General features: G+C 49.6%; 1 protein-coding gene and 1 long non-coding RNA gene across 7 annotated transcripts in view, besides 3 other annotated features; both read left to right on the forward strand.

Moving 5' to 3' along the window:
* MROH7-TTC4 (MROH7-TTC4 readthrough (NMD candidate)) overlaps positions 1–20697 on the forward strand; it is a 100918-nt gene that overhangs the window by 45887 nt on the left and 34334 nt on the right. For 2 of the 3 annotated variants that reach the window (NR_037639.2, NR_037640.2), the window contains 7 exon segments: positions 4798–4935; positions 7750–7864; positions 12695–12835; positions 13517–13696; positions 14464–14619; positions 14997–15119; positions 18809–18911. This is a non-coding gene — a long non-coding RNA (MROH7-TTC4 readthrough (NMD candidate)). 3 annotated transcript variants of the gene reach the window in all.
* The window catches only part of MROH7 (maestro heat like repeat family member 7), a 68481-nt gene that overhangs the window by 45841 nt on the left and 1943 nt on the right, over positions 1–20697 (forward strand). For all 4 annotated transcript variants that reach the window (NR_111931.2, NR_026782.3, NM_001039464.4 and 1 more), the window contains 7 exons: positions 4798–4935; positions 7750–7864; positions 12695–12835; positions 13517–13696; positions 14464–14619; positions 14997–15119; positions 18809–18911. Coding sequence is in view for 2 of the 4 variants with exons in the window: in NM_001039464.4 (NP_001034553.3) it covers positions 4798–4935; positions 7750–7864; positions 12695–12835; positions 13517–13696; positions 14464–14619; positions 14997–15119; positions 18809–18911 (956 nt within the window). In the remaining 2 variants the exon portion in view is untranslated. The remainder of the gene's footprint in view (positions 1–4797; positions 4936–7749; positions 7865–12694; positions 12836–13516; positions 13697–14463; positions 14620–14996; positions 15120–18808; positions 18912–20697) is intronic.
* Positions 10453–10953: an enhancer, noted in NCBI's record as "H3K4me1 hESC enhancer chr1:55163752-55164252 (GRCh37/hg19 assembly coordinates)". NCBI's record gives its function as "activates a minimal SCP1, AML or CMV promoter by ChIP-STARR-seq in naive H9 embryonic stem cells {active_cell/tissue: H9 hESC(naive)}" and the evidence as "EXISTENCE:reporter gene assay evidence [ECO:0000049][PMID:30033119]".
* Positions 10954–11454: an enhancer, noted in NCBI's record as "H3K4me1 hESC enhancer chr1:55164253-55164753 (GRCh37/hg19 assembly coordinates)". NCBI's record gives its function as "activates a minimal SCP1, AML or CMV promoter by ChIP-STARR-seq in naive H9 embryonic stem cells {active_cell/tissue: H9 hESC(naive)}" and the evidence as "EXISTENCE:reporter gene assay evidence [ECO:0000049][PMID:30033119]".
* Positions 17621–17821: a silencer, noted in NCBI's record as "peak243 fragment used in MPRA reporter construct". NCBI's record gives its function as "represses an SCP1 promoter by STARR-seq MPRAs in K562 erythroleukemia cells {active_cell/tissue: K562}" and the evidence as "EXISTENCE:reporter gene assay evidence [ECO:0000049][PMID:32103011]".

Raw genomic sequence — 20697 nt, forward strand, 5'->3', positions numbered from 1 at the left:
CTGACCATTGCATGATAAAGGATAAAATGGAGTGACTCCTAAAACATCCAGTTTGCCAAATTGCCTCCCACAGAGAGCACTGCCACCAGCAGTGTATGAGTATCTATTTCCCTACACCCTTGCCAACACAATGTGTTATAAAACATTTTTATCTTTGCCAATATTAGAGTTAAAAAATTGGAATTTTGCTGTAGTTTTAGTATGCGTTTCTCTTATGAATGACATTGAGTTTGCTTTTTTTCTTTCTTTTTTTTTTTTTTGAGACAGGGTCTCACTCTTTTGCCCAGGCTGGAGTGCAGTGGTGCAAACATGGCTCACGGCAGCCTTCACCTCCCAGACTCAAGCAATCCTCTCGCTTGAGCCTGACTTCATCGCTTGAAGTCAGGAGTTCAAGACCAGCCTGGCCAATATGGTGAAACCCCGTCTCTACTAAAAATACAAAAATTAGCCAGATGTGGTGGTGGGTGCCTATAATCCCAGGTGCTCAGGAGGCTGAGGCAGGAGAATTGCTTGAACCTGGGAGGCAGAGGTTACAGTGAGCCAAGATTGCACCACTGCACTCCAGCCTGGGTGTCACAGCGAGACTCCGTCTCAAAAAAAAAAAAATTTTTTTTTTTTTTTTTTGTTAGAGATGGAAGTCTTGCCATGTTGCCCAGGCTGGTCTCGAACTCCTAGGCTCAAGTGATCCTCCAACCTTGGCCTCCCAAAGTGCTAGGATTATAGGTGTAAGCCACCATGTCCAGGCCAGAAATGTTTTTTATGTAGCCAAGTTTATCAGTTTTTTCTTCTGTGACTCGTATTGTTATGATAGGAGTGTGCCTAACACTTTCTGTGTTATGCACAGAAAGGTGCATTTAGAGAGGCAGAGGGCAAACAGTTGTGTAGTGGGCTTGAGTCTGAAGGTCTTGGATTCAAATCGTGGCTTCATCACCTAGAATGTTGTATTTTGGGTAAATGAATTTTACCTCTTGGCAGTTGGTTTCCTTGCCTATGAAATGGATAAATGATTCCTGTCCCATAGGTGTGCTGTGAGGACCAGATAGGGTCGCATCCCAGCAAGACACCATTTGCCCGCAGTGCGGCCAGTTCCCATTCCCCTCCTGCTCATGCTCGTAGGTGCCGCCCTGAGAGCATTGCCCAGAAGGCTGACGGGCTCTGGGGAAAACACAAGGGGAAAAAAAGGAGGCTCTGGAGGGGGAGGAGGAACACATATGGGAAAAAATTCTTGACCTTGGAGTGATGAAAGGTATGACCTGCCAATGCAGAGGGCATGGCTCAAATGAGGACATCAAGGAGAAGCTGGAGGAGTGCCCGAGTATCCACCTCACCTCAGTGTCTCAGAAGCAGCCTGAGAGGCAGAAAAAGCAGAGGCAGGCATGTGCCAGGCTGAAGGGGGGCCAGAAAAGTCATGAGATGTAGTGGTCTAAATGGTGGCCCCCGAAAGACATGTCTGCCCAGAACCCATGATAGTGACCTTATTTGGAAAAAGGGTCTTTGCAGATATAGTTAAGGATCTCAAGATGAGGTCCTCCTGGATTAACCATGTGGGCACTGAATCCAGTGCCAAGGGGCCTTATAAGGAGAAGAGAGGCCCAGACACAGGGGAGAAGGCTGATGAAGACAAAGAGTGAGTGATGTGGTCACAAGCTAAGGAGTGCTGGAAGCCACCAGAAGCCAGAATAGGCAAGGAAGCATTCTCCCCTGGACTCTTCAGAGGGCTGCGGCCCTGCTGACACCTTAATTTTGGATATCTGGCCTCTAGAACTGCGAAAAAATATATTTCTGTTGTTTTGAGCCACCCAGGTTGTGGTGATTTGTACAGGAAATGAATCCTCTGGGGTATGGCACCAGAGCAAATTGTCCGTGCTCCAGACTGCAGTGATGAGGTGGAATAGCTCCACGGGGCATCAGCACACAAGGCGGTCACATCCTCCTGAGAGGAGAGGCAGGCTCTGGTAATGAGTGCAACAATTACCCCTGCAAACAGCTTGGGTTTGAAGGAGGAGGAGGGAGTGGCCTGAGAGCTTGTCCTGTGAAGCCCAGTTTCTGTGCCTTCCAGGAAGGTGAAACTTTCAGCAGCCCTGGGCTTTAAAGCAGCTCCAGCTGGGTGCAGTGGCCCATGCCTGTAACCCCAGCACTCTGGGAGGCTGAGGCAGGAGAATCGCTTGAGGCCAGGGGTTTGAGACCAGCCTAGGCAACATGGCGAAACCCCATCACTCCAAAAAAATAAAAAATTAGCCAGGTGTGTGGTCCCAGCTACTTGGAAGAATAAGGCAGGAGGGTCGTGTGAGTCCAAGAGATCAAGGCTGCAGTGAACCATGTTCTTGCCACTACACTCCAGCCTGGGTGACAGAGCTAGACCCTATCTCAAAAAAAGAAAGCAACTCCATGTCAGATCAATCATTGGCTCTGGTGTCCCAGTGCAGGGACAGAGAATAAATATTTCAAGGTGTCCCTTGCTCTACTTTGCAGAGAAAGCCTTTTAGAAGGGTAAAACTTGCAGAGTGAGTGTTTGGGGACACAAGAGCCACCCCACCACCCACAGCACAGCCCTCCTCCCAAAAGTTTCAACTCTATTTTTTCACGAAGCAGCACGGGCGCCATTTGGGCTGTTGCAAGTATAACTTTGGGAGTGGGGTGAGAAGGGAGGGAAATGAGGCCTGGGATCACCTTGGGGTCAGGGTGGGAGGGAGGGGGTGTGGAAACCCAGGCTCACTTTTGTGAAAATATGAAGCCTGATTGAGGGAGTGAGGTGAAATGACAGAGAGGATCAACTACGAATGATGCAGTTCTGAGTTCAGAAGTTCAGAAGTTTTTTTTTTTTTCCTTTTTTTTTTTAGACGGAGTCTCACTGTCGCCCAGGCTAGAGTGCAGTGGCGCTACCTCAGCTCACTGCAAACTCCGCCTCCCGGGTTCACGCCATTCTCCTGCCTCAGCCTCCCGAGTAGCTGGGACTACAGGCGCCCGCCACCACGCCCGGCTAATTTTTTGTATTTTTAGTAGAGACAGGATTTCACCATGTTAGCCAGGATGGTCTCGATCTCCTGACCTCGTGATCCACCCTCCTCGGCCACCCAAAGTGCTGGGATTACAGGCGTGAGCCACAGCACCTGGCGAATTCAGAAGTTTTGGCCTAAATACATATTCATCAGGCAACACAAATGAGGACTGGGAGGACTGGCCAAGCCATGGCTATCTGGAACCTCTAAGTCAGGTCATTCCCTTTTGAGCTCTGGAGCTCAATCTGTGCCCAAGCCAGTTTGTAAGAAGGTGTCCAAAATGATGACCCTGGAGATAGGGACACACAGGGAGGGGAGGGTGGTCCAGTCACCGGAGGAGCATATGCAGGAGGCTCATTCTGTCTTAGGTAAAGGTGCTAGTGCCTGAACTTTAAGAGAATAACCTTTCTTCTCCAAACAAAAACCTGTACATCTCAGCTTAGCCATTCAGCCAGTACTTGCAAAGGGAAGAGAATGGTGATGGGAGAATTGGACAACACTCTGAGCCTGCCTGTCTTTCTCCCTCCCTTTTGTTTGTAACTCTGAATGCTAGAGGCATTGCCAGTAGGGACTATCATTGATGGCACACATTTCAAAGAATAAGCACAGAGGTTGAATGATTCCAAAATTCTGCCCTCAGGAGAAGCTTTTATTTTCACACTGGATCATTACAAAAGCAAAAACATGAAAATGAAGGGCAAATTTCTGAGGATTACCTAATTACTTAAGTCCTTTCTTTTGAATCATGAGAGCCACCAGCTCTCACTATCAGCTGAGGTATGTCCACAAAGTGCACCATAAACTCTTTCAGCAAATGTTTAGGTTTCTGGAAAACTTTGTTTAAATGTAAGCTTTATTCTATACAGTGTCAGTTTTTATTTTAATAAAAGTGTATATAGGCTGGGTGCTGTGGCTCATGCCTCTAATCCCAGCACTTTGGGAGGCTGAGGCAGGCAGATCACTTGAGATCAGGAGTTCAAGACCAGCCTGGCCAACATGGAGAAACCCCGTCTCTACTAAAAATACAAAAATTAGCCGGGTGTGGTGGCGCATGCCTGTAATCCCAGCTACTCGGGAGGCTGAGGCACGAGAATTGCTTTAACCCAGGAGGCAGAGATTGCAGTGAGCCGAGATCGCACCATTGCACTCCAGCCTGGCGACAAAAAAAAAAAAAAAAAGTGTGTGTGTGTGTGTGTGTGTGTGTGTGTGTGTATCTAGAAACCTCTGTCTGATCTCTCTCTCTCTCTCTCTCCTCCCCCCCACCCCCCATGTATGAACACACAGTGCGGTGCCAGGCATACAGTAGGATGTCAGTGCCCTCCCAGGGCTTCTTAGGCTCATTCTGGAGCTTGACAAGCACTGGCCAGAGCCCCAGTCTCGTCAGTTGGTAGGTCATAAAAGCTCCCCAAGTGCTGCTGCTGGGTATGCAGTTTGAGAATCACTCCTTAAGTGTCCTGAGTTGGAGAAGGACTCGGCCCACATAGGAGACTGTGAGTGAGCAGAGAGGCTGCCTGCCCAGCCCATGGCTGATGCATAGTGGAGGGTGAGAGAGAGGCTGGTCCCAGAGGTAAAAGCACAGCCTTCATAGGGAGGTGGACTTTGCTTCTGTTTCCTCTCTTGTTCTAAAAGCTAATGATTATTTGTAAAAAGCCACCCTTTGTGGATACACTGAATACCCCTACCTAAAATGGTGAAGAGAAGTTTGTCGGGCCAGATGGCAGGAGAGGCCGGGGTGGAGGGAGGCTTGGCCTGCTAGGGCCCAGGTAGGCATGAGGTCTTAATTGCCTTGTCTTGGCAGCTGGGTGGTGAAAGTGGTGAAAACCCTGCTACTGAGGATGGGCTGCTCTTATGAGACCACGTTTCTGGAGGACCAGGGTGGCTGGGAGCTCATGGAGCAGGTGGAGAGCCACCACCGCGGAGTGGCCTTGCTGGCAAGGTGAGTCCCGGGACCACCTTGGGGTTGGGGTGGGAGGGAGAAAGAGGGGGACCTCAGGATCTTCAGACGGACTTGGTCTGCATCTCTCCCTGGGCAAGACCCTTTGCTCAGTCTGTCACCTCTTCTCTACAACTGGGAGGGTGCTGTCTTCCTTGGCAGGTAGACAATACAAATGTTAAAGATAGCACTCACTCTTCAGAGGTTCCTGGCAATTGTGGAGCACTTAGACTATCCACAAAGCACCATTCCTTAGTGCATTATGAATTTAGTTCCCATGCCAAAACAGAAATGGTGGTATAACCAAGTTGTTGAGGTGTGGCCTTGGAGATGGCCTGACTGCATCTGAATCCCAGCTTACCACTTGCCACCTGTGTGACCTGGGACAAGTTACTTCCCTCTGAGTCTCCACTTTCCTTCAATAGCATGGAAATAATAGTCAGACCCACCTCTGAGGGTTGGGGTGAGGATTAATTAAAGTACTTTGAATAGGCCAGGCATGGTGGCTCATGCCTGTAATCCCAGTGCTTTGGGTGTTTGAGGCGGGTGGATCATCTGAGGTTAGGAGTTCAAGAACAGCTTGAACCTGCCTTTTAGACACAGTTATCAACAATGCGTTTCTGATATTTTGTGTCAGTTCTTTTGTTCTTTCCCATTTGAATGTGTAGTACATGATGGTAAGTGTCAGTTGGGTCTGCAGAGGCAACATAGTGAAACCCCATCTCTACCGAAAATACAAAAATTAGCTGGGTGTGGTGGCATGTGCCTGTAGTCCCAGCCACTCGGGAGGCTGAGGCATGAGAATTGCTTGAACCCAGGAGGTGGAGGTTGCTGTGAGCCGAGATGGCACCACGTACTCCAGCCTGAAAAAAAGTACTTTGAATAGCCCCTGGCATATGGTAAGAGCTCCACACAGGCTAATTTTTACTATAGTTATAGTCACTGGTGGGGCAGGGGTGATTAACACATATTTTGCACAGAAACATGCCAAGTCTGGAGAGGAATTGTCATGTGCCCGAAGTCACACAGGCAGGACATGGCAGAGGTGGGAAGTGACCTGCTGACCCAGACTAAAGCTCTTCCCCAGGCCATGCACAGCTTCCCACGGGGTCAAGAGGGAGCACCTTGATTCCAATGCTGTGACTCCTGCAGGAAAGCCTGCATCTTAGCCCTGTACCCTGAGTGCCCCGGGTGGTGCTTTCCCCAGGGTCTCAGGATACAGTCACATTTGTTGAGCACTTACTATGCTCTAGGCACCATGCAGAGATCTGTCACATGCATGATCCCATTTAATCCTCACCGTGACTGATGAAATAGCACTTTTATTTATTTATTTATTTTGAGACAGAGTCTTGCTCTATCGCCCACGCTGGAGTGCAGTGGTGTGATCTCTGCTCATTGCAACCTCTGCCTCCTGGGTTCAAGCGATTCTCCTGCCTCAGCCTCCAGAGTAGCTGGGATCACAGGCATGCGCCACCACGCCTGGCTAATTTTTGTGTTTTTAGTAGAGACGGAGTTTCACTATGTTGGCCAGGCTGGTCTCAAACTCCTGAAATCAGGTGATCTGCCCGCCTTGGCCTCCCAAAGTGTTCGGATTACAGGCGTGAGCCACGTCCCTCGGTGAAATAGCACTATTATTATCCCAGCATTATACATGAGGAAATGGAAGCCCAGAGAAGTTAAGCATCTTTCCCCAAGTCACACAGCTAGTGCTGGGGCCAGGATTTGAACCCAGCTGTCTCATTCTGCACTCCATGCATGATTGCCAGACTGCACTGGATTCACTGATGGTGGAGCATAATGCAGTGCTCCTCAGACTTGAGTGTGCAACGGAATTAACTGCCAGGCCTGTTAAAACACTGGTTGCTGTGCCCCGTACCCTAAGAGTTCCTGCTTAGTAGGTCTGGGATGGTGCACTTCTTTTTTGAGATGGAGTCTCACTCTGTTGCCCAGGCTGGAGTGCAGTGGCACGGTGTTGGCTCACTGCAACCTCTGCCTCCTGGGTTTAAGTGATTCTCCTGCCTCAACCTCCCAAGTAGCTAGGATTTCAGGCATGCGCCACCACACCCAGTCAATTTTTTTTGTATTTTTAGTAGAGACGGGGTTTTACCATGTTGACCAGGCTGGTCTCAAACTCCCAACCTCAAATGATCTGCCCGTCTCAGCCTCCCAAAGTGGTCAGGCCTGAGCCACCGCGCCTGGCTTGGGATGGTTCACTTCTAACAAGCTCCCAGCTGATGCTAATACTCTGGTTGAGTGGGGGTGGCACTGAGAGGACCACTGGCTTAGTAGAATGAACGAGGCAGCTGGAATGTGAGCCCTCGGTTGGGGCTCCAGCTCGGCCATTTTCTAGCTCTGTGACCGTGGGCGGTTCACACTTAGAGCCTCTGTTTCCTCATCTATGAAATGGGGATAATAACAGCAACCTGCTTCGAAGGATCAGATGGAGTAACAATGTGAAAGCATGTGCCTGCTGCCTGGCGCTTGGTGAGTGGGCCTTCACATCCTCTCCTTCCTCTCTCTGCTGCCTGACGTGGTCCTGTGCAGCTGAGGGTCTTCAGCCTGGCTCTCTTACTGATTTGTGCTGTGCCCTCAGGCAAGTCTCTTTCCCATTCTGGGCTTCAGTTTCTTCATCTGTAAAATGAAGCAGTGAAACCAGATGACCTCTGAGATCCCACCCAGGTGGAAAATCCTGGGAACGCAGGAATCCAGGTGATCCTGGCTTACCCAGGATTTCCAGTGTCACAAGCAAATCCCCCCCACAGGTCCCCCTGGGGCTGGATACCTGAGGGGACTACTCCCCCTTCCCACCCCCAGGGCCATGGTGCAGTACTCCTGCCAGGAGCTGTGCCGCATCCTCTACCTGCTCATCCCGCTCCTGGAGCGAGGCGACGAGAAGCACAGGATCACGGCCACCGCCTTCTTCGTGGAGGTACCAACGGGGGCAGCGGGTACACAGCGGGAGCTCCTCCCGGGCCTCGGTTCACGTCACTGGTCATTTCTCCTATGTAAACAGTACTTTATAGTTTACAAAGCCTTCCCATGGGCATGACTTCTCTTGACTATGATGATCTTGTTGGTCTCCCTCCCTCCCCTCCCTGTCTCTCCACCCTTTACTCCATTCCACTCTTAACCAGACTCCCCTAGTGCCCAGGGAACCACCAACCTTTGCTGGGCACCTCTGTGTGTCAGGCACGAGACATATAAATGTGAATTTGACTCTACCCTGCCCTCAAGGAATTTTTGGTGTGGCAGAGGACACAGAGGACACCCCAGTTATAACAGGGGGTGATACCAGTGAGTGATTTGTACTATGATGGGGCCATCTAGGCTGTGGTGGGGAAACAAGTGACTTGAGGGAGGGAGGCATCAGGGAGGGAGGGCTTCCTGGAGGAGGTGACATCTAAGCTGAGTGTGTGTTGGGGAGGTGCTAGGGAGAGGTGAGTCAGGAGAAGTTGGTGGGGACAGACCCAGAAGAGAGAGACTTGCTAATAATAACAGCTAATATTTATTGAGCACTTAATATCTTCCAAGCATGTTCTAAGAGCTTGACACACATTGATTCATTTGGTCTCATACTAATCTTATGACGCAGATACTATTCCATGCCCCGTTTTAGAGAAAAAAAACCCTGAGGCATCAATTTAAGAAACTTTCCCAAGACCGCACAGCTTGTAAGTGGCAGATCCAGGATTCAAATAAAGACATCTGGGCTCTAAAACCCTCCCCTTTCCTTTTAGTTTTTAAAAAATTGTGGTAAAATATACGTAACATAAAATTTGCCATTTTAACCATTTTAGGTGTACAGTCCAATGACATTAATACATTCATATTGTTATGCAACCATCACCACCATTCATCTCCAGAACTTTCGTATCTTTCACTACTGAAACTCAACACCCACTAAACACAAACTCCCCGTTCCATTCCCTCAGCCCCTAGTAACCTCTATTCTACTCTCTATCTCTATGAATTTGCCTATTCTAGGTATCTTATGTAAGTGGAATCATACAATATTTGTCCTTTTGTGCCTGGCTGTTTCCCTAAACATAATGTCTTCAAGATTTATCTATGCTGTTGCATGCATCACAATTTCCTTACTTTTTTTTTTTTTTTTTTTTTTTTTTTTTTGAGATGGAGTCTTTCTCTGTTGCCCAGGTTGGAGTGCAGTGGCGTGATTTTGGCTCACTGCAAATTCCGCCTCCCAGATTCAAGCAATTCTTCTGTCTCAGCCTCCCGAGTAGCTGGGATTATAGGCAAGCACCACCATGTCCAGCTAATTTTTGTATTTTTAGTAGAGACTGGGTTTCCCCATGTTGGCCAGGCTGGTCTCGAACTCCTGACCTCAAATGATCCTCCCACCTCAGCCTCCCAAAGTGCTGGAATTACAGGTGTGAGCCACCACGCCTAGTCAAAATTTCCTTACTTTTTAAGACTGAATAATATTTCATTGCATGTACATACCACATTTTCTTTATCCATTTGTCTGTTGGCTGACATCGTAAAACCCACTCTTTTAACCACCACGCTTGCCTAGTTCTTGTGACCTGATGGTTGTCATGAGGCAGGTCTAGGCTAAACTAGGATCTGTATAGTGAGGCTCAGAGGCAAGAGGCTCATTGTCTGCTTGGATAGTGTGAAGGTTAAGGAAGGCTTCCTGGAGGAGATGACATTTAAACTGAACCTTAAAGTTTGCCAAATGAACAAGAGGCAGCATGGGCATCCTAGGTACTTTTGTCATCTTTTCTGCCACTGCAGGTGGGCTATGAGTTGGGAGAAGGGACCATGTCACATTGGTATTGCACCCCCAGGTCCAGCTTTAGGAGGGCCCCAAGAAGTGGGGATGGGATGGATGAAGGAGTGCCTGAACAAATACTGCAGGTCACCAGCAGAATGTGTCACCTCCAGGGAGAGCAAACCTGGCCTTGGGGTCGGGAGTCCTGGGTTCCAGCCCCAGCTCCATCCAGTTCTAACTCCAATTTCCCTGACCATGGTGAGGGAAAGAGAAAGGGAAACTACCATTACTTACAGGCCTACTATGTGCCAAACACTTGTATTGACCTCTTTCAAATGTTATTTCACTAATCTGCACAGCAACCCTGCGAAGAAGGAATTGTGATACTCATGCTTAGGTGAGTTAAGGGGAATTTTTTAAGGTCACAGAGCTCAGAGAGTCCAGAGAGATTCAGAACAGGCCTGCCTGACACGGTCCTCTACTTTGGTCAGCCTCTTGGAGAGGCACTTCTAAGTCTGTTAGTGTCTACCACATGGGTTCTTGCAGGAGAGGAGGGAGGGTGGATCTTGCCAGACCTTATGGGGCATTCCTGTGTCCACCACAAAGTCAGGGACTCTAGGTTTAACTTCTCCCCACCATTCCCTGGACTCCTGACCAGCAGCCCTTCCGCCCTGCAGCAAGGGTCTTGGCCCAGGTTCAGTCTTTTCCACCTCCCCAGAAGAGGTGTCTGCTCCTGGCCAGTCAGCCCCACCATTAAAGCCGTGGCACTTTGATGCAGCTCAGATGCCCCTTTCACCCTCGTCCCCTCCGCCCCGGCTTCCTGTCGCCCTCTCTGCTGTGATGGTGTGTGTGCTTGCTTCTCCCAGTGGAAGGTGAACTCCTTAAGGGAGCTGTGCCATCTTGGACAAGTCACTTAACCTGCCTGTGCCTCTGTTTCCTCACCTGTAGTATGGGGATGATGACTTGACCACCTCCTAGAGTGGTCAGGTTTACATAAAGCACTTAGAACAGTGCCTGGCACATAGGAAGTGCTCTCTGTGAGTCAGTTAAATTGCTTTTAGGGTTCTCATGACTCTTTTCCGTGTCTCCAGTGCCCAGCCCAGAAGCTGTGCACAGCAGGCCTGAATATTGGTGGTGTGAATTGGTGGATGGCGGGTGATAGGTGGAGCCCCTCCTTTTCTGCCTCCTCCCCCGGTGACCTGTCCTGCCCCCTCCTCCAGCTCTGCCTCCCCAGCTCTTTCCTCCCACAATACAGACACACGGGCTCAACAGTCACAGGAGATGTCAGGCAAGGGCATGGAGGGGAGAAGCGTTTGTGAGAGTCATGCAGCAGGCATCGAAGTCCTGTTGGCTGCCGTGGGTGGGGAGGCCAGTGGGGGAGAGGAGGGGGATAAGGGTGAGGCTGGTGTGCAGCTTGGACGATGGGGGGCTGGTAGTGCTAACCCTGCCACAGGGAGTGCAAGAGGAGGGCATGCCTAAGGAGGAAAGGAGCCAAGTTTCTTTCTTTTTTTTTTTTTTGGACGGCGTTTCATTCTTGTCTCCCAGGCTGGAGTGCAATGGCGCCATCTTGGCTCACTGCAACCTCCCCCTCCCAGGTTCAAGTGATTCTGATGCCTCATCCTCCTGAGTGGCTGGGATTACAGGCACCTGCCACCATGCCCAGCTAATTTTTGTATTTTTAGTAGAGATGGGGTTTCCCCATGTTGGCCAGGCTAGTCTCAAACTCCTGACCTCAGGTGATTTATCCACCTCAGTCTCTCAAAGTGCTGAGATTATAGGTGTGAGCCACCTTGCCTGGCCTTTTCTTTCTTTCTTTCTTTCTTTCTTTCTTTCTTTCTTTCTTTCTTTCTTTCTTTCTTTCTTTCTTTTCTTTCTTTCTTTCTTTCTTTCTTTCTCTTTCTTTCTTTCTTTCTCTCCCTCTCTTTCTTTCTCCTTTCTTCCTTCTTTCCCCTTTCCTTCCTTCCTTCCTCCCTCCTTCCCTCCCTCCTTCTCTCTCTTTATTTCTTTCTTTATTTCCTTCTCTTTTCAAGGTGGAGTCTTGCTCTTGTCACCCAGGCTAGAGTGCAGTGGTGTGATCTTGGCTCACTGCAACCTCCACACCCTAGATTCAAGCGATTCTCCTGCCTCAGCTTCCCGAGTAGCTGGGGCGTGTGCCACCGTGCCCGGCTAATTTTTTGTATTTTTAGTAGAGATGGGGGTTTCACCATGTTGCCCAGGCTGGTCTTGAACTCCATACCTCAGGTGACCCACCCACCTTGGCCTCCTGAGTAGCTGGGATTACAGGCATGAGCCACCGTGCCCGGCCCAAGCCAAGATTCATGTTGGACCTGAACTCATGCAGCAAGCAGTCCCTGAGCACATATTCCGCACCAGAGTTGATGTTAGCTAACAGGGGCCCATGGAGGAACAACTCGGGTTTTGTCCTCAGGGAAATCCCCTGTTGGATAGGGGAGGCAGATGGAGGCACTGAAGGTTTCCAGCTGTCGCCTCAGGAGGAAGTCCAGGGCACCCAAGGGCCCAGGGAAGGAGGCAGTCAGCCTAAATGAGGCCAGGGGCAGTGTCAAGCCTAGCTTTAAGGCTCTGAGTTTTGGATGGAGCCCTGCGAGGTGGCAGGGGTCAGAGTGGAGGTGGGCATCCCAGGAGAAGGGCATTTTGCCAGCACAGAAGGGGTGGAACAGCCTGGGTAGTTCAGAGAACAGGAGACAGCTTGGTTGGAAGCTGGCTGGCTGGTGGTGAGGGTGTGGGCTGGAGGGTGGGCACGCTGCTGTTAATGAGGCCACAGGATCTCATGGGAAAGGCAACAACAAGCAGTCACAGGGGCTCGGAGCTGGAGAGTGACACACTCAGCTTTGCCACATGGTGCTGATGGACATCAGACGGAGACTTCCAGCAATCTGTTGGTTTTGCAAGTCTGAAGCTCCGGGCAGAGCTGAGCCTGGTATCCAATGTGCAATCCCAGTGCATGGGAGGCCAGGGGGCTGCCCTGCCCCCCTCAGCCTGGGAAGTAATGACCCTTTGCTCCCTCAGCTCCTCCAGATGGAGCAGGTGCGCCGGATCCCCGAGGAATACTCTCTGGGGCGGATGGCAGAAGGCCTGAGCCACCACGACCCCATCATGAAGGTGCTGTCCATTCGAGGCCTGGTCATCCTGGCCCGCAGGTCTGAGAAGGTGAGTGGGAGGCAGAGGAAAGCCTGGCCCAGCCAGGCCCCAGACTGGAGGAAGGACAGAGCTTCACCATTATAGTACCTCAGAAGCCCACAGCTGGAATGAGACATCATTTCTATCTTAGCCTCAGTTGTCCCATCTGTAAAATAGATATCCTTTAAAAATCTATATATTTTATTCCTTTTGAATAGTTTCTAATCTAGGTTTTTCACAATGATTCTAAAGGCAGTGTGTATAGGAAGGGCAAAGGGTGGCACAAGTATTCCTATTTTACAGATAAGGAAACAGAGCCCAGATTGTTGCTGCATCATTAGCATTTTTTAAAGTGCTTTGTTTTTCTCTACCAGGCACTGTTGCAGCTCATGATGTAGCTGCTATGAAAGGACAGGACATAGACTCAGAAAGCTAACTAACAACACAGCGTGTCATCTACCTAGAGCCAAGGAAGGGGGTAGACAGCAAAGGGCCTCAGGGGTCCTGGCCAACGAGTCAGTGAGGCCAAAGAAGGCTTTGAGGAGCAGCAAGAGGTTGGGTGAGGGTATTCCAGGCAGGTGGGATGGCATAGGCCAAGGCCTGGAAGTGGGGATTGGGCCACCAAGTTCATTTCAGTGAATCAGAGGCTGGGTCTCTTCCTACTTGCTAGCTCAGATAGGAGCCCTCATCCCAAATGCTCCTGCCCCACAGACCGCCAAGGTGAAGGCCCTCCTGCCCTCCATGGTGAAGGGCCTGAAGAACATGGATGGGATGCTGGTGGTGGAAGCGGTCCACAACCTCAAGGCTGTCTTCAAGGGGCGGGACCAGAAGCTGATGGACAGTGCGGTCTATGTGGAGATGCTGCAGATCCTGCTGCCGCACTTCAGCGACGTGAGGACCTCACAGAGCGAAGGAGCAGGAGGGATCGAGAAGGGGGTCTTTTACTACCTTGGGGGCTGCATTTCCACCTGTGCCCCCATCAGGACCTGGGCAGTGTTGGGTCAGCCTACTGGGAGAGGAACTTTGTCCCAGCTGGTCCACATCTTTTTGTAAATGTTCCTTATTCTAACTGGTTCTGACAGAGGAAGCTCTTCTTTCACAATCGAGTCTCCCCAGAAAGGGTCATCTATTGTGACTGGTTCATCTAGAGGGGGTACTTTCTTTTTAAAGGCAGGATCTTGCTCTGGCACCCAGGCTGGAGTGCAGTGGCAAGATCTCAGCTCGACCTTCCTGGCTCAAGCAGTTCTCCCACCTCAGCCTCCTGATAGCTGGGACTATGGGCATGCACCACTATGCCCAGCTAATTTTGCATTTTTTGTAGAGATGGGGTTTCCCTATGTTGCCCAGGCTGGTCTTGAACTCCTGGGACTCACGTGATCCACCCCCACCTCAGCCTCCCAAAGTGCTGGGATTACAGGCATGAGCCACAGCACCTGGCCAGTTTTTTTTTTTTCTTTAAACTGCTCCTAGCAGAGGAGGAGAGGGAGGCATTTTCCTACTTAGCACTCAGGTGCCTTTTAGGTTAGTGGGGGTCTGGCTGGGAAGAGTCGGGAGAGTTCCAGACCTAGGCTTGAGTGAGAGGAACAATGGCTCTGAATCAGCCGCAGTGAGTGGCGTCCCAGAGGAGGGACCCCCTCTGAGCCTTTGGTCTTCCCCAGGCACGAGAGGTCGTGCGCTCCTCCTGCATCAACCTGTATGGGAAGGTGGTCCAGAAGCTTCGGGCACCACGCACTCAGGCCATGGAGGAGCAGCTGGTCAGCACCTTGGTGCCCCTACTGCTGACCATGCAGGAGGGCAACTCCAAGGTAAGCCAGGTGAGTGTGCGTGGGCCCTGCACCCTCTACCCCTCCCTCGGGTCCTGTGGGCGCACCTCTTTTTACGTTAACCAAGCCAGAGTCTCAAACAATCCTGGGGGCAGTTATGTATGTCCAGCCATGTCTGTTTTCTAAAGGTGCCCACATCAGGATTCTTCCTCAACACGGCCAGCTTCTGGTCATAGCTGATGTATAAAAAAAGAAAAAGGTCCTAAATCATGGGCAAAATAAAAATAAAATAATAGTAATTAAAAAAATTAAAAATGGTCAGCTTCACTTGTACAATTTCAAATAGAAACTGAGTTTTCAAAATCCCTTTTTCTGGACCATAGTCTGGCTGTCCACAGTTCTGATATTTTCTTCCTATTGGTTCCCAGAAGTGTGTGAAGACCCTGTTACGCTGTTCTTACTTCATGGCTTGGGAGTTGCCAAAAAGAGCTTATAGCCGGAAGCCCTGGGACAACCAACAGCAGACAGTGGCCAAAATTTGCAAGTGCCTTGTGAGTGCTCCCAGAGAGTAGAGTGGTTCCTTACAAGCATGTTGGAGGTGGCGAATTCTGTGTCTCTCTCTTCCTTCTTTTCCCACCAGCATCCTATTTCCATGACCAACTACAAGTTGTTGGTTCTGGAACGTTCCTCTCCACCTCTGGCTTCTCTCCTGACTTCTAGTGTGTTCTCTGTTCAGTGGCTTCCTGCATACCTCCCACGATGATCACGGGCACTTCAAGCTCAGCTTGTCTCTTTTGAGCCTGTGCCTTTTCCTTTCAATTCCTCCTTTTCCCTCTAGAGCCCCCAAGCAGAAACCTAGAATCCTCTTGGGCTCCTTCATCTCCCTCACCCTCCACATTTGATCAATCTTAAATATCCCGAGTATCTTGGAATCTGCTTTTCCCTCCCCACCCTGCTGCCATCGTTGCCCTTAATTCAGGGCACCGACACCCCTCAGTTAGGCTATTGGCCCAGCCACCCAAGGGGTCTCCCAGCCTTTAACTCCATCCCCTCCAATCCATTTCCCACCCAGGCCACCAGAATGGTCTTGTTAAAACACAGCCTGCTTGTATTAGATCCCTGCCTCAAGGGCCACACTGGCTCCTTTTCTACAACATCAATTCCCAGAGTTGTATTACCTGCAACACCAGTCTCACAAAATATGCCCCAGAGGGAGGAAAAGAAGTTTGAAGACAAGTAAGTTTGGGAAATACTGCACTGACATTCTCCTCTTGGAGATTTGCAATGACATCAGGATACTAAAGGCTCTGAGATGTTTTGTGCTGAGGAAATGTGTTCATGGTTCTTCATATAATAGTTTCCCAAACTTATTTAACCACAGAGCTTCCTTTCTCGGTGATACCTGTGAACATCATGAGGTAGGAGCAAGCCGCGTGCATGTGCGCGCGCGCATACACACACACACACAAGCACAACTCTGCAGGATACAGCCTAGTCCTCCATATGTCATTTGGGAGGATTTGCCCGCGGTCTCAATCTACCTTCCCTGTTGTTGTGGGCAGCAGTGAGCATATGAGGGAGTGCCCCTGGGACCAATACCCATGGAAGGGAGCGGAAGAAACAGGAATAACAAAGGGAGAAGTCAAGTTACAATGTAGCTTCAGCACAGGCCTCAGCCAACACTGCCACGAGATTCCCAAATTTGGCCTGGGGGTCAGGTCTGTACACTCCTGTGTTCATCTGTCACTGGATGCCAGTCACCCTGGGAAGGGCTTGACCTTGGGCCAGGCAGTTCTCAGCCCAGGCAATGCCCAGAGTTGGGGGAATTAATCCCTCCCGTGTGAAGGGACATCTGAGTGGGGAGTCCATCACTCCCCACACCAATCTAACATAAATATACAAAGCCACAAATTGTTACTGGACTGAGAAAAGCTCTTTGGCCACCACCATTATCAGTAATGCTCAAAGCCTCTGCAATTGAGGGTCTCATGATATTACCATCACATTCCAGTGGGAAATAGAGGTCTGGAGGAAGTGCTTGGCCAGGGTCACTAATTCAAATGCTCACAGTGGCCAGTGACCAGGCAGATAATCATGAGTGGTGTGGAAGTGGTGGTCCCTGAGCACCCTGGAGAGCCCAGACCCCGTTGAAGGTAGGGGTGAAGAGCTCAAGCTCACCGTGCAGGCCCTTCTCTTGCCAGGTCCTCTGGTTTCATGAGAAAAGCTAGAAACCTATTTTTTTTTTTTTTTTTTTTTTGAGACAGAGTCTCACTCTGTCACTCAGGCTGGAGTGCAGTGAGTGGTGCGATCTCGGCTCACTGCAACCTCCACCTTAGGGGGTTCAAGAGATTCTCCTGCATCGGCCTCCCAAGTAGCTGGAATTATAGGCATGCACCTCCACACCCAGCTATTTTTTTTTTGTATTTATAGTAGAGATGGGGTTTCACCATGTTGGCCAGACTGGTGGTCTCGAACTCCTGACCTCAGGTGATCTGCCTGCCTCTGCCTCCCAAAGTGCTGGGATTACAGGCGTGAACCACTATGCCTGGTCAGAAACCCTACATTTTTATAGGACATGAATTAGCATTCAATGTAGCTCTTTTTTTTTTTTTTTTTTTTTTTGAGATGGAGTTTCACTCTTGTTCCCCAGGCTGGAGTGCAATGGTGTGATCTCCGCTCATCGCAACCCTCGCCTCCCAGGTTCAAGTGATTCTCCTGCCTCAACCTCCTGCGTAGCTGGGATTACAGGCATATGCCACCACACCTGGCTAATTTTGTATTTTTAGTAGAGACGGAGTTTCTCCATGTTGGTCAGACTGGTCTTGAACTCCTGACCTCAGGTGATCTGCCGCCTCAGCCTCCCAAAATGCTGGGATTACAGGTGTGAGCCACTGCACCCGGCTGAATGTAGCATGTTTTAAACACTGTGCTTGTCATTGCTCTGCAGGCTACTGAGGCCCGTGGCTGCCAGCTTGTGACCTCTACATTAGACCCCTCTGGGTCCTCAGTTTCTTCTTTGCTCTTCAGGCCATCAAGAGCTTTGCTCATTTAAAGGTCAACCTCCAGGCTTAGCTTTAAGAAGGGGCTGGTAACCTATTCATTCATTTGTTCATTCATTCATCTGACACTTTTGGGGCACCTGCTGCAAGCCAGTCCCTGTCCAGGGTGCTGAGACTCTTAGCTGAGTGAAATGGCCCCTTCTCTTGGGGGAGCCCGAGATACAGTGGGGGGACATCAGTATAAATAATTACAACACAGTGTCATAGGTGTCATGACAAAGGATGAGCAAGATCTGCTAGAAACATCAAGGGTGGTGGGATGGAGCTCTGCCTAAGGGCTGTGGAAGGCTTCAGGAAGGAGGTGGCATCTGAGCTGAGGCTTAAAGGATGAGAGGGAATTTATGAGGTGAAGAAGAGTGGGAAGGGCACTCCAAATAGGAGCAATTTCTTGTAGAAGGTGCAGATCTGGGGATAGCTGGTCATGTCCTCGGAGTGCAGCATGGTGGGCATGACAGGTGGAGTCAGTGGAAGGAGCTGAGACTTCGAAGGAAGGTCAGACCCAGAACATGATCATGAAGCTTTGCATGCCAGGCCTAGGAGCTTAGGCCTTGATACACATAGGTCGTCAACAGGAGAGTGATCAGATCAGATTTCTCATCTTCTCCCTCAACAGCTCCTTAGCTGGACAAGCTCCTTAGCTGGACAACTGTCTCCCACTTTCTACCTGTCAAAGCCATCGTGACTACCTCTGTCAGACTATTTTACCCAAAACGTGGCTTTCTCACTGTCCTATTAAGAGTAAATCAATGTTGCCTTCTTCTTTCCTAATGTACGAGTAAGCCCTATTTCTGTCTGGCTTTTAAGACCCCCTGACTCTCCAGTTTATCCCCATTGCTCTATACCTTGAATCCTTCACCCTGGTCAAACTGTCTCCTTACCTATGTCCCTCACATGCCATGTCCATTCCCATCACTGGCTGGATCTGCATTTTAGAACTTTCCCTCTGACTGCAGCAGGGGGGTAAATTGGAAGAGGAGACACCCAAGGCAGGAACATCATCGAAGTGATTGTTGTAATCAGCTAAGAGGAGATAAGCCCTGGCCTGTGGGGGACTCATGCAGAGGGAGCAGATATATTTGGGAGGCAGGGGGTGAGGGTCACCATTCCTAGCTTCAAGAAGGGTGGATGGGCAATTGGTTCCTCTGAGAGGCCAGCACTTTTGGGGTTTCTCTTTGTCCTAGGTGAACACCCACCGAGACAGCGCCTTCATATTCCTCAGCCAGAGCCTGGAGTATGCCAAGAACTCACGGGCCTCCCTCCGGAAGTGCTCAGTCATGTTCATAGGTAACCTGCCCTGGCATAAGTCATCCTGCTGCCAGGGCTCTGCCTGCTCTCCAGTTTGTTTCCTCCCAGGCTGCTAGCCCTTTCAGCACCTGGGGGGATGCTTCCCTTTGGGTGCAAGGCTTGGCCACCAGACAGCCATGGTGAAAGTTAGAATGGTTTTCCCCACTCTAAGATCATGGCTTAGGAAGTGAGCTACAGGCTGGATTCAGTCTGAAGTCTTTGTGCAGGTCACAACCTTGGCAACTGTATATGGCAGAACTGCTGCTTTTCTCTGGAGTACAGCATGGGTACAAGCCTAGCAGGAGCCTGGGCAAATCCCCCATTGACAGCAGCAGGAGGGGCCAAGCAGCATGGTGAAAAGAGTCAAGTAGAATCTCAGTTCCATGGTTCCCTTCCTGTGTCACCCTAACTGGATTATTTACTCCCACTGAGCCTCAGTTTCCTCATCTGTAAGATAGGGATCACCTCCTGTTTCACAGACTGAATGAGAATATTTTTTAAAAGGGGAGGGATGGCACATACAGGTGCTCAATGTTAGCAGTCTTCATTCTTCCATTTCCCATAATCCCAAACTTTCTTTTTGGAAAAAACAAACAAACAAACAAACAAAAAACACCAAAAACAAACAGCACATTCCCCTTGACCAGAGCCCCCGACAGGACCCTTCTGATGGCAAGTGGGTGTGTCTCCTCCCAGTTACTCACCCCTCCCTCCAAATAACCACATGCCCTTCACCAAGGGCCAGGAGACCTTGTTGCAAAGAGGCTTGGAAATGATGCCATTTGTGAAGTGATATTTTTTAGTACCTTTCCCAAGTTAATTTGCTGTTTTCTTCCGTCCGATCATTCATCCACCCATCTGCTGGTTTATTTAGCAAACGTTGATTCCGTACTCTGTGAGAGGTGTGATGCTTAGGCTAGAACAACAAAGAGCCCTTCAGGAGGTGATGCTGATGAAGGTGTGGCGATAGGGGGTGGCTGTTAACATGATCAATGCTGGTGCAGAAGAAAAATGCTCAGGACTGGAGGAATCCCTTAGAATGTGGGGGCTGCTCAGAGACATCTACTTCCTACGTGCTGATTTCTTTAAATCTTGCTCTAAATTAATCACTTCTAAAATGGAGTGTCTAACACCCTGGGAATCATCTGTATGTCAGGGCCTGTGCTGGGGAAACATAGTGAGTAGAGCCTTGATCTGCCCATAGATAGCTCCCAGAGCAGTGCAATGATTATTAACCTTTTTTGGGTTATGGCTTTTTTGTGATACTCTGAAGAAAATTATGAATACTTTCCTGAAAAAAATGCATATATGTATACAATTTTGCATCCTCAGATGGATCCTCAGATCCTTGCCCTCCCACTGTCACCCCTCAGTGGATCTAAGATTAAGTAACTTCTGGTCTGGTGGGAGATAAAATTCATAAATCACAAGTAAAATACAATGTGGTATAAACAGATAGAGAAAAGCTCGCAGATACTCAAGAAACCAAGAGAAGGATCTAACTTATCCGGAGCAAGGTGAGGAAGGACTTCCTGGAGGAACCACTTGTTAAATTGAATATTCAAGGACAAATAGGAATTGCCAGGGAAAGAAGTGAGGCGCCAGGCAGGGTGGCTTACTCCTGTGATCCCAATCCTTTGGGGAGTCAAGGTGAGAGGATCATTTAAGGGCAGGAATTTGAGAGTAGCCTAAGCAATATAGCAAGACCCCATCTCTACAAAAAACAGATACTTAAAAAAGTTAGCTGGACATAGTGGCAAATGCTTATAGTCCTAGCTACTCAGGA

This window comes from Homo sapiens, chromosome 1, assembly GCF_000001405.40.
Source record: "Homo sapiens chromosome 1, GRCh38.p14 Primary Assembly".
Lineage (NCBI taxonomy): Eukaryota > Metazoa > Chordata > Mammalia > Primates > Hominidae > Homo > Homo sapiens.